The sequence below is a fragment of the Homo sapiens genome, chromosome 1 (assembly GCF_000001405.40).
Source record: "Homo sapiens chromosome 1, GRCh38.p14 Primary Assembly".
Taxonomy (NCBI): Eukaryota; Metazoa; Chordata; class Mammalia; order Primates; family Hominidae; genus Homo; species Homo sapiens.
The window spans coordinates 10,099,744-10,112,659 of NC_000001.11; the positions used below are offsets into that span (position 1 = coordinate 10,099,744).

General features: G+C 42.8%; 1 protein-coding gene across 8 annotated transcripts in view, besides 1 other annotated feature; it reads left to right on the forward strand.

The window, feature by feature from the left end:
• The window catches only part of UBE4B (ubiquitination factor E4B), a 148,282-nt gene that overhangs the window by 66,786 nt on the left and 68,580 nt on the right, over window positions 1-12,916 (forward strand). For 5 of the 8 annotated variants that reach the window (NM_001410744.1, XM_011540490.3, XM_011540489.4 and 2 more), the window contains 5 exons: window positions 1,365-1,452; window positions 3,205-3,349; window positions 5,773-6,001; window positions 6,454-6,840; window positions 7,479-7,631. In NM_001410744.1, the coding sequence (NP_001397673.1) occupies window positions 1,365-1,452; window positions 3,205-3,349; window positions 5,773-6,001; window positions 6,454-6,840; window positions 7,479-7,631 (1,002 nt within the window). Of the gene's footprint in view, window positions 1-1,364; window positions 1,482-3,204; window positions 3,350-5,772; window positions 6,002-6,453; window positions 6,841-7,478; window positions 7,632-12,916 lie in introns of those variants that run through there. The other 3 variants (XM_017000035.3, NM_001105562.3, NM_006048.5) reach the window with 3 other exon arrangements.
• Window positions 8,981-9,481: an enhancer, noted in NCBI's record as "H3K27ac hESC enhancer chr1:10168782-10169282 (GRCh37/hg19 assembly coordinates)". NCBI's record gives its function as "activates a minimal SCP1, AML or CMV promoter by ChIP-STARR-seq in primed H9 embryonic stem cells {active_cell/tissue: H9 hESC(primed)}" and the evidence as "EXISTENCE:reporter gene assay evidence [ECO:0000049][PMID:30033119]".

Consider the following 12,916-nt stretch of genomic DNA (forward strand, 5'->3'; position numbering starts at 1 on the left):
AGTGGTATTGGCCAGGGACAGACAAATTGTCTAACAGAACAGTAATGAGTCTCCAGAAATAGACCCACTCGTTAATGAAAATTGGACACGTGACATAGGAGCTTTCATATTAATGTAAAAAGGATGATCTTTCCAGTAAATGGTGCTAGGGCAATTGTTCAATCGGGGATAAATGATATGTACTTAACCAGTTTTTATAATAAGACTTCAGTTGAGTTTTTTATTTTCTTAATTAAATTTTTTATTTTTATTTTTTATTTTTTTGAGATGGAGTCTCGCTCTGTCGCCCAGGCTGGAGTGCAGTGGCGCAGTCTTGGCTCACTGCGAGCTCTGCCTCCCGGGTTCAGGCCATTCTCCCGCCTCGGCCTCCTGAGTAGCTGGGCCTACAGGTGCCCACCACCATGCCCGGCTAATTTTTTGTATTTTTTAGTAGAGACGGGTTTCACCATGTTAGCCAGGATGGTCTCGATTTCCTGACCTTGTGATCCGCCCACCTCGGCCTCCCAAAGTGCTGGGATTACAGGTGTGAGCCATCGTGCCTGGCCTATTTTCTCAATTAAATTTTTAAAAATGTTTATTTAATTTTTTTTAGAGCCAGAGTCTTGCTATGCTGCCCAGGCTGGGATACAGTGGTTATTCACAGGCACAGTAATAGTGCATACAGCCTCAAACTTCTGGGCTAAAGTGATCCTCCAGCTTCAGCCTCCTAGGTAGCTCGGACCATAGGCGCATGCCAATATACCTGGCCTGGTTGAATTTTATGTCATTTTAAAATACTATATATAGGTAACCTACTTTAATGATATACTTTTATTTATTTATTTATTTGAGACGGAGTTTCGCTCTTGTTGCCCAGGCTGGAGTGCAATGGTGCGATCTCGGCTTACCGCAACCTCTGTGTCCTGAGTTCAAGTGATTCTGCTGCATCAGCCTGCCGAGTAGCTGGGATTACAGGCATGTGCCACCACGCCTGACTAATTTTATATTTTTAGTAGAGATGGGGTTTCTCCATGTTGGTCAGGCTGATCTCGAACTCCTGACCTCAGGTGATCCACCTGCCTTGGCCTCCCAAAGTGCTGGGATTACAGGCGTGAGCCACTGCACTCGGCCAATGATATACTTTTAAAAAGTAAGCCCAAGAAAATGACAACTTAGGAAAAATATTTCCAACATGTATAAGAGACAAATTGTTTAGATCCTAATTTATGAAGAACTCTTAAAAATTAATAAGAAAAAAGATGGACCATTATCATTTTCCTTTCCTGATTAACTGATATTTTAAAACATTTTCTCACCCAGCAGCTACAGTGACATTGTGCGGATTTATAAAAGGTAAAAGGCTTGTTTGTCTTTTGTACTTTAAGCATGTCCCAGGTGGATGTGGATTCAGGAATTGAAAACATGGAGGTTGATGAAAATGATCGAAGAGAAAAGCGGAGCCTCAGTGATAAGGTTGGTAAGCGATGAAGCCCTTGGTACAGGTAATAGAAATAAACACATTTCATGTCTTGTATCTGTAGAGTCTGTTAGATTGGGGCCACCCGAAATCAGGAAGTCCTAGGCAGGTGATTATTTTTATTCTTTTGAGGAAAAATGAATAACCTAGATTACCCTTATTCATGAAAGTGTAACTCAGTCCTTTGATCTGATAATATCCATCTGTTTTTGGTTCAGGGCCATGATTTTATCAGTAAATTTAGGTTGTAATAGGAACTAATTTAGAGCAAATTAGAATTCTTTCTGTTGGTCTTTTGCTTTTTTTTTTTTTTTTTTTTTTTTTTTTGAGACAGAGTCTCGCTCTGTCGCCCAGGCTGGAGTGCAGTGGTGCGATCTCGGCTCACTGCAAGCTCCGCCTCCCAGGTTCACACCATTCTCCTGCCTCAGCTTCCCAAGTAGCTGGGACTACAGGCGCCCGCCACCACGCCCAGCTAATTTTTTGTATTTTTAGTAGAGATGGGTTTTCACCGTGTTAGCCAGGATGGTCTTGATCTATTGACCTTATGATCCACCTGCCTTGGCTTCCCAAAGTGTGGGATTACAGGCGTGAGCCACTGCGCCTGGCCTGGTCTTTTGCTTTTAAGCAAGTAGATCATCACATCTTTAGCAGTATTCTGAGGAAAATGACTGGGAATTGAAGCAAGAATATGTAGAATCTAGTCGCAAGTAGAAGGTTTTGGAAAACATGAAGCCTTTATATTTGAATATCACCTGAGCTTAGTGCTCTGCATTTAGGGTGTGTGTGTGTGTGTGTGTGTGTGTATTAATATAGATAATTACATCACTTTCTGTTTAGTAAATTATTAGGAATCCTTTAGCAACACATGTTAATGATTATTGGAAGTTGCACTGTAAACAAAAATAAAGACAAACAAAGGAAAAAATAAGAAGTTGCACTGTAGCCTCCTAGTGGTGCAGTGCTTTATTTTGTATAGTTCTTTAATGTTTACAAAATTCTTTTTTATATGCTGTTTTATCTGTGGTGGTATGTAATGAGAAATGTTACAATTTTGAAAAATTCCTGGAGGAAAATTGGTCATGCACCTGGAGTGTTAACCTGGTCCTATGGAATTCAGAAAAGTAAATAGATAGGATATGTACATCCTCTGTCACATATTTTTCCTTGGTGACTTTTGATAATGACTTTGCTCTTTTTTTTTTTTTTTTTTTTTTTTTTTTTTTTTTTTTGAGACAGGGCCTCACTCTGTTGCCCAGGCTGGAGTGCAATGGCGTGATCTTGGTTCACCACAACCTCCGCCTCCTGGGTTCAAGCGATTCTCCTGCCTCAGCCTCCCAAGTAGCTCCGAGTAGCCAGGCCCGCAACCGCGCCTGGCTAATTTTTGTATTTTTAGTAGAGACAGGGTTTCACCATGTTGGCCAGGCTGGTCTTGAGCTCCTGACCTCAGGTGATCCACTGGCCTCGGCCTTCCAGAATGCTGGGATTACAGGTGTGAGCCACCACGCCCGGCCATCTTTGCTCTTTTATGCTCCCCATAGATTGTATTGTAAGCTCATGAGACTTAGATGTTGTAACTTTGATGTTATAGGAATAGGCTTACTTTTCCCCTAATCAGTGGGTGAATGGTTTCATGCATTTTTAAAATATCATCACTAATAATGAATTAAATCAGAATAACGTATTCCTATTGAAACACCTAACTCATACCTCTTATTTGAAATTAACCTGCAAATCTTCTTCTTCACCAGGAGCCTTCCTCGGGCCCTGAAGTGTCTGAAGAGCAGGCCTTACAGCTGGTCTGTAAGATCTTCCGTGTCTCTTGGAAGGACCGGGACAGAGATGTCATCTTTCTTTCTTCTCTTTCTGCACAGTTTAAGCAGAACCCAAAAGAAGGTAGGAATCTAGCTCAGCAGTCTTACTGCAGAGTACTCGACAAGAAAATAAGATGTGAGATCTTTGCCCTCTGTTATCCACATTCACTCCATCTTGCTCTTGGGTTGTATTTTTGATGACAGGGATACTTCTTGATGAGGACACAATTGTTTAGCCACTTTCTTCCCTTTCCACTGATCTTATCGATAACTTATTTTTCATTTCCATGATTTCTATAATACTATGTAAATAGGTTAATGGTCTCCATTTTCTCAGGGTTGAAGTTTTTCTCTTTGTAGTAAGAAGGTGCTTAGAGCATTACCTCCTCTTTATTTATTTATTTATTTATTTATTTATTTATTTATTTATTTATTTATTTTGAGATGGAATCTCACCCTATCACCAGGCTGGAGTGCAGTGGCATGATCTCAGCTGACTGCAACTTCTGCCTCCCGAGTTCAAGTGATTCTTCTGCCTCGGCCACTGGAGTAGCTGGGACTACAGGCGTGCACCACCACGCCCAGCTAATTTTTGTAGTTTTTTTTGTTTGTTTTGTTTTTGTTTTTTTTTTTTTTTTTGAGACAGAGTCTTGCTCTGGCACCAGGCTGGAGTGCAGTGGCGCAGTCTTGGCTCACTGCAACTCCCACCTCCTGGGTTCAAGCAATTCTCCAGCCTCAGCCTCCCGAGTTGGGATTACAGGCATGCGCCACCACACCCAGCTAATTCTTGTATTTTTAGTAGAGACAGGGTTTCACCATGTTGGCCAGGACGGTCTCGATCTCCTGATCTCGTGATCCGCCCGCCTTGGCCTCCCAAAGTGCTGGGATTACAGGCATGAGCCACCGTGCCTGGCCTCATTTTTGTAGTTTTAGTAGAGACAGGATTTCACCATGTTGGCCAGGATGGTCTCGATCTCTTGACCTCGTGATCTGCCTGCCTCGGCCTCCCAAAGTGCTGGGATTACAGGCTTGAGCCACCGAGCCTGGCCTTACCTCCTCTTATGAAGTATAGATATAGTGGGTGGTCTCCAGGGATCCTGAGAGAAGTGTTCTGTATGAGCTATACCTGCTTTAAGTGCCTATGAAGCCATGTATAGACGGTGGAATTGGTCTATTTGGTTAAATTGCTTAGCAAGATAGAACATAATGACATTTTGCTGTGTTTCTGATATTCCACTTTAAGAGGCCAAGCTTGTAACAAAATAATAAAACTCTTAGCAAGATATCAGCATCATAGGGCACTATCCTTTTTCTTTACAGTAGTCATTTGGAACGCAGAAGAGGTATGGGAGGTGTGCTGGAGTGGTTTTTTTGGCCTATCACTGGAATGTAACTTCCCTCATGGTAGGGATTTTTGTCTGTTTTACTCATTGATGTATCCCTAGAAGGATATCTTGCACAAAATAGTCCCTCAATAGATAGATTTTAAATGGATGCGTGAATATCAAGGAGATCACCTTTCTCTTTTCTATGCTGCCTATCTTCTGAGGAGGGAAAAAAAAAGTCCTTTGTATTTCTGGAGGATAGATAAGACTATTTCTGATTTTACTTATTAACTCTGCTAATGGAGCAGACCATGTATTTGAAACTCTGCTACTTGTTATTCTTATTATAAATCTTAAGATTCTCTGTCTTACACATGTAAGTGGCAAATCTGTCTTACACATGTAAGTGGCAATTTTAAATAACCAAATCAGATAAAATTTCCATGAGTTAAAACTTTTGTTAAAACAAGTGTCTTACACATGTTAAGTGGCAACTCTGTCTTACACATGTAAGTGGCAATTTTAAATAACCAAATCAGATAAAATTTCCATGAGTTAAAACTTTTGTTTAGTGGTATTTAAAATGTATCTAAAGACCAACAGTAAATCAACTGGGAGCTGCAAAGAATAAGAAGGAAGCTAGAATGTAGCATTTGCTCCTGAAAGCCACATGGTGACTAGATGTTGGACCCTTCATAAAATCTTTTGAACCTTGGACTTAATAGTTTTATTACTATCTATAAAACATATCTAGACTAAGAAATATTAACCCAGTTGCATTTGTAGTATAATAAAGTAACCTCTATAGTTGGGAGTAGCTTCTTTTTACAATTAATATACATCAGCGGTAACTCTCAATGACTGTACCCCAACTTTCTTTTTAATAAACTTTTAATTTTGGAATAGTTTCAGTTAGTGCAGGGAGTTCCTATATATACTTTACCCAGTTTCCCCTGACGTTAATATCTTATATAACCATGGTACATTTGTCAAAACTAAGAAATTACTACTAACTAAACACAAGGCTTTATTTAGGTTTTCCACTAATATCCTTTTACCATTCCAGAATCTAATCCAGGATACTGCATCGAACCATTTGGGGTCAGCTGGCTTATTCAAGGGCTGTGTAACCTGTGTTCGAACTGTGTGTAACCTGTTCTTTGTTCTGCCTTTCCAACAGTATTCTCCGATTTTAAGGACTTGATTGGCCAGATTTTAATGGAAGTGCTAATGATGTCCACTCAGACCAGAGATGAAAACCCATTTGCCAGTCTGACAGCCACATCACAGCCAATTGCTGCAGCAGCACGGTCACCAGACAGAAATCTCTTGCTAAACACTGGCTCCAATCCAGGAACAAGCCCCATGTTCTGCAGCGTGGCTTCCTTTGGTGCCAGCTCTTTGTCTAGGTCAGTGTGGTTCTCTTTGCACATCTTACTGGTAGTAAAATAACTGTGAACTACGTAGGAGAAGGGAATGTTTGTTGACAGTGTTAATCAGTGTCATACAGGGTATGGCATATATCATATTTGGGGAGGTGGATTTAGTCATTGGAAGTGGAATTCTCTTTTCTAGATTATTATTTTTTGGCTCTCTATGGTTAAGATATTGCTAGATGAAATTTTAGAAGCAGTTGGCTGTGTATACTACATCATTCTTCGAATGGGGACTTTATCGTCTTGTAAGTATAGCCTCTAGATCAATAGGGCAATTAGATTATAATTATTTAGATGTTTATCTGCTAGATATACTTGAACTGAAATGATTCTCCTTTAAAAGCTTGATATTTTCTGTTTTAGTTAGTTATCTCAAGTTTTTCTTTGATTTTTCTCTTCTTTCCTCCCTTTCTCAACTAATTTAGCCTCTATGAAAGTAGTCCGGCTCCCACTCCCAGTTTCTGGAGCTCTGTTCCCGTGATGGGCCCGTCTCTTGCCTCACCTTCCCGTGCAGCCAGCCAGTTGGCTGTGCCTTCCACTCCCCTCAGTCCTCACAGTGCAGCCTCTGGAACTGCTGCGGGAAGCCAGCCTTCATCCCCGCGGTATCGCCCCTACACTGTCACTCACCCATGGGCGTCCTCAGGCGTCTCCATTCTGTCGAGCTCCCCAAGTCCCCCTGCCCTCGCCAGTAGCCCCCAAGCAGTGCCCGCCAGCAGTTCCAGACAGAGGCCCAGCAGCACGGGTCCACCCCTACCACCCGCCTCACCCAGTGCCACGAGCAGACGCCCCTCCTCCCTGAGGATCTCTCCTAGGTATTTATCCCACAGGAGAGTTGCATGTGTGTTTGCGGTGCAGGGAAAGGAGATTAACACGGTTTGGAAGAAGTGCTGTGTGACACTGACTCTGTTAAATTGTTGTTTTGGGTTATTAACCTGTGTGGCTAACTAGTTTGGTAGGCACGTACTCTGAGTCCATGCTTCTGCCAGGCTCTAATCATGCTGGAAAGTTTGGGTTGCTCTATTCTATTGTGAATCCCTTTCTTCCCTTTGAGAGTTGGGGCACACAGGAACCCTTTTTGGCCTTTTGTCCTGTTGCCAGTGGTAGTTGAAATGCTATCAGACCAAGCAGGTGTGGGAGCAAATCTGGGCCTGGTGTTTTTTACTTCTGGTGAGTGGGGTGGGTCGGTTCATGTCCTGACGTGTTGAGTTTTAGTTATATGTAAGTTCAGTCTCTTAGAAGGAAGCAGTATCAGAATTCCACTAATCCAGTGGCCCCTTCTCTCAAATGTACCTGTATGTGTTTCTATAATTTAGGTGAATTATGTTTCTGCATGTCAGTGGCCAAAAGTTTTAGTGTATGGTTTATTTAAAAGGACAGCAGTTGCAAAAGCTTCTCCCCGTCTTGTTTTTTCTTTGTTCTCTGATGGCCTTTTTTGCTTTTGTTGTGGTAGTATGTACGACAATCCTTTCTCCTTCCTCTTCCTCGCACTTTCTGGGGACAGTAGTGATGAAGAAGATGAAGAAGAAGATGATGATGATGGTGATGGTGATGATGAAGGTGGTGGTGGTGGTGATGATTTTTCTTGTGTCCAGTTTGGGTCCAGGTATCAGAGGAATGGAGTCTTACCCCTGCATGTGCGTAGATGCTTAGGAACTAACTTCTATAAGCTCTAACAAGGGGCGTGCTTTGAATCCAGGCAGGATAGGGTCAAATGAGGTGGGCTCCAGAGTATATTGATGTGTTCAGACCTTCTCATGGGATAAAGTAGCACATAGGAGAATTTTCTTTTTTTCTTTCTTTCTTTCTTTTTTTTTTTTTTTTTTGAGGCAGAGTTCTGCTCTTGTTGCCCAGGCCGGAGTGCAATGGCGCAATCTCGGCTCACGGCAACTTCCTCCTCCTGGGTTCAAGTGATTCTCCTGCCTCAGACTCCCAAGTAGCTGGGATTACAGGCACCCGCCACCATGCCCGGCTAATTTTTGTATTTTTAGTAGAGACAGGGTTTTGCCAGGTTGGCCAGGCTGGTCTCGAACTCCTGACCTCAAGTGATCTGCCCGTCTTGGCCTCCCAAAATGTTGGGATTACAGGAGTGAGTCACTGTGTCTGGCCCCAGAATTTTCAGAGTTGTCGCCTGGCAAGTTTGGAGGAAAACTTTATGTATAATCATTTTTCAAAAGCATGAAAACAGATTAAAGATCAGTCATCAAGTTTATCCACCTTTAGATCTAAAATGAGGGACCCTTCATTTATCTATTGCGAGAATGTTATTGTGAACTACCAGATGTGACAACTTGTACTCTCTGAGGCATGTTTTCTTAAGTACAGTTGCATGAATTGCTGCTATTTAGTAACGGGAGAGGGGCTGGGATTTGGGGGAGGTGTGTGTGTGTGTGTGTGTGCGTGCGTGCTCCCTTCCCACCCCCTCCCAGCCTCCACCGCCCCCCTGTTCACCCCCATTGAGCTCAGTCTGGGCAATCCATCGAAGAACATATGAGGTCATACCATCTGCATAACTGTGACTTTGCTTTCATGTCTAGCCTTAAATTTCTCTTAGCACCTCCTGGACCTCAGTGAAGCCAGACCCCATTTGTTTAAAGAGCCTTTGAAATGACCGCAGAGGCTGAAACATAGTTCCGGATGTTGCTGAATGTTTACCCCTGGAAACCGAGTGAAAAGCACTACTTGGGTTGTGTAGGTGACTTTGAGCAAGAGAATATAATAGCACCTTCTTTCTAATCCTCTGACTCATTGTCTTACAATTTTGCTCTTAAATTGAAGTTTCCTGTGGACTGAGTTGGTGTTTGTGCCCAGCACTGTTCAAAAATAACTCCAGGCTATAAATAGAGACTGCAGTAGGAGTTAGGTACACTTCATTCAATTCGATGGTGTTCAGAAGAATCATTAGAGAATACGTAAAGAGACAGAGGAATGTTGATGCAAGGTTGAATATTGATTCAGGAAGGTTGATATTTGTATTACGCTGAACATTTTATCACCATTTCTCAAGTAAATTTCCCAAAGGTGAAAGTGTCTTTTTCACGTAGATAAAATCCTATTGCATGATTATAGTAATAAAGCAGGCATCCTTCCTAGGAACCAGTTTCCACATGGTAAAAGTGCTGTGTTACCTGTTTTACTGTAAATTTTCTGTGGGAGAAATTCTCTCTCCCTGGCCTATTTAGTTGTGACTTTCTCTAACAACCGTATCAGATTGTGTGCTGCTTTTACTAATACCTCTCTTTCTGGACTTCTAACACCCCAGCCTTGCCTCAGATCTAAATTCTCTCCCTACTAGGAGGAATAAAATGTACCAAGTGTATAAAAATAGCTGCAAATACTCATGGAGCATTGTGCGCCAGATGTGGTGTCAGCTCTGTCCATGTATCAGCCCCTTTACTCCTCGCTGTAGCCTGCTGTGAGGAAGTGGCAGGGGGAACGGGGGGGCCGGGGGGACAGACAAGAGGGTCAAAATCATAGAAATGCATTCAGACTTGAGCATCCTGAATCCAGACTCATGTTCACCACCGCACCGTGCTGCCACCCACTTTTCCATTTCTGCCCAAATAGGTCTTGTTTGTTCTTGTTCCTTACTACTGTTTTTGCTGCCGAGAGTCTGTGCATCTACTCGGTTCCTTTGGCAGGGAAGTGCCAGCATTTCACTCCTTAATTACAAAATGCCATCCCAGTCAGTTGATATGTCCCTTGTTGGCCGTTACAGTGAACTGTGATCATCCAGATTTTGGCAGCTTATAGGTTCTTAGTTGATATAAAAAAGAATGCCAAAGCATGGGTAAAAATACATGACATAACTATGTAAACAAGTAGAAGAACTTAGGGTTCTTCTAAGTAGGGTCAGAGCCAAGATGAGCTAGCAAAAAACCTTGTTACTTTTTTTTTTTTGAGACGGAGTCTTGCTTTGTCACCCAAGCTGGAGTGCAGTGGAGCGATCTCGGCTCACTGCAACCTCCACCTCCTGGGTTTAAGCAATTCTCGTGCCTCAGCCTCCCAAGTAGCTGGGATTACAGGTGCATGCCACCACACCTGGCTAATTTTTGTATTTTTAGCAGAGACAGGATTTCACCATGTTGGCCAGAGTGGTCTCAAACTCCACACCTCAGGTGATCTGCCCACCTCGGCCTCCCAGAGTCTCAAACTTCTGACCTCAGGTGGTCCGCCCACCTCGGCCTCCCAAATTGCTGGGATTACAGGCGTGAGCCACTGCGTCCAGCCAAAACCTTGTTACTTTGAGCAGTCAGCAAAGAAATAGTACTTTATCCTTCCCCCTTTCTCATTGATCTTCCCAGAATTTTTTTACTCTGAAGTAAGCAATTTTAACACTCACTTCTTGCCTGGTAAGACTAATGTCATAGAAGAAAGAATCATCAGGGGTTGGATCGCTCTCTCCATCTGCTGGCCCAGTGGATTCGATGTCTTATAAATCTTTTTGGAAGTAGTTGGGACATACATTTATATGTTAAGTATTTATAGGGGTGATGATAAGGATTAATTTTAAAAAGGTAAAACATTCCTTCTGTAATGTTTTGCAGACTTCTGAGAAAAGAACTGTTTGAGATATAAAGAACTGCTTTTTGCGCGAGTGGCATAAATGAGTGAAGTGAGAATTACCGTGTGTGAAAAGATAACTGTTGGGTGGTGGGCTTAATGCATGGGTGATGAAATAATCTGTACAGCAAACCTCCTGTAACAGACCTTCATATGTACCCCCAAACCTAAAATAAAAGTTAATAAAAATCAATAAATCAATAAATAAAAGCTGGAAGTTGATCTGAAAAAAAAAATTACCCCATGGTAAAGGTACCGCAGAAGTTATCCGGAGGAAAATGTTTCTAATTGTTTCCTAGGAAGTTGATGACTAGAAAGAAATTTGGTGGTTTTGTGTTTGTTTTTTAACTGTAAATATTTCAGTGAAGGAGGTCAAATCTTGAATGTCACAAGCCTTATATGAGTAGAGAAAGGGAAAATTAGTGAATAGTGAAAAACGTTGACATTGACTCTCCTGTTTTTGCTGATTGTCACTGCTTGGGGTTGAAACATAGAAACAGTGGAAAAGAAATCATTCTGGCTGGGCACAGTGGCAAGCACAGGTAATCCTATCACTTTGGAGGCCGAGGTGGGAGGCTTGTCTGAGCCCACGAGTTAGAGGCTGCAGTGAGTCGTGATCATGCCACTGCACTCCAGCCTGGGTGATAGAGTGAAACCCTGTCCCTCTCTTCTCTCTGTCTCTCTCTGTCTCTCTCTGTCTTTCTCTGTCTCTGACACACACACACACACACACACACACACACACACACACACACACACACAGTCTTTCCACCATATCTATCCCTAAGATCCCCCAGTGATTTCCCTTCTCACACAGAGTAAAATCCAAAGCCTCTGACCATGGTCTACAAGGCCCTGCATCTCACGTACACTCCACATACTACACACACACACACCACGCGCTACACACACACCCCCACACCAAGCATACATGCACATACGTGCCCCATTCTAACTTAATCTCCCTCTACTTGTCTACTTCCCCTAACTCATGTACTGGACTCCTGTTCTTTGCACGTAATACTCCCTCCTGCCTTAGGCCTTTGTACTTGTTTCTCCCCTTCGGACCACTCTCCCCACTAGACAGCTGTATGGCCGGCTCCCTCACTCTCCTCAGGTCTATCAGAGGGTGGCCACTGACCTCATTGTCTCAAACATTATATAGAACACACACGCACCCATGCACGCACACCGTCGTTCTTCATCCGCCTGGTTCCGTGCACTATTCCAGGACCTACAGCAGTGCCTAGAACACAGAACATCCATTAGCAACATTTGTTTAATGAATTTATAGTGCCTAAACCTGCACAACTCTGACTTTGCCTTGCTATTAGAAAATGCAAGGCCAGGCGCGGTGGCTCACACCTGTAATCCCAGCACTTTGAGAGGCCGAGGTGGGCGGATCACTTGAGGTCAGGAGTTCAAGACAAGCCTGGCCAACATGGCGAAACCTCTTCTTTACTAAAAATACAAAAATTAGCTAGGCATGATGGCATGTGCCTATAATCCCAGCTACTAGAGAGGCTGAGGCAGGAGAATCACTTGAATCCGGGAGGCAGAGGTTGCAGTGAGCCAAGATCACACCACTGCACTCCAGCCTGGGCAACACAGCAAGACTCTGTCTCAAAAAAAAAAAAAGAAAGAAAATGCAAATTCCAAAGGCTGCATTTGAGAAGTCAGTAAATGGGAGAGTAATTATAGAAGAAACTGAAACAGAGTCGCTTTAAGAGCAAGTTTTGTTAGTGCATTTAAAATGGGATTCAGTCTGCACAGATCGGATGCACGTGTAATCCCTAGGCACATTTACATTGTGTTTTCAGAAGGATGCAGCTCTGTTTCTATTATGTGAAGTAATTACTTGGTTACATTGGACTGCTAATGTAGTTATCAGAAAGTGGTTTGCATATTCTCCCAGAGGGAGGTATAATTTTCTAGATGCTCTTAGGACTTCAATATGACATATTTCCAAGATTTTAGGATGTCACAGTTGTAAAAGCATCATGAATTTTGTACAGCTGAGGGAAAATATTAAATACTACTTTAAATATTTAGAAATATTTCTTTTTTGTTTTGTTTTGTCTTGTTTTAGACGGAGTCTCGCTCTGTCTCCCGGGCTGGAGTGCAGTGGCGCGATCTCAGCTCACTGTAACCTCCATCTCCCAGGTTCAAGTGATTCACCTGCCTCAGCCTCCCAGGTAGCTGGGATTACAGGCACCCGCCACCATGCCTGGCTAATTTTTGTATTTTTAGTAGAGACAGGATTTTATCACATTGGCCAGGCTGGTCTTGCACGCCTGACCTCAAGTGATCTGCCCCCCTCAGCCTCCC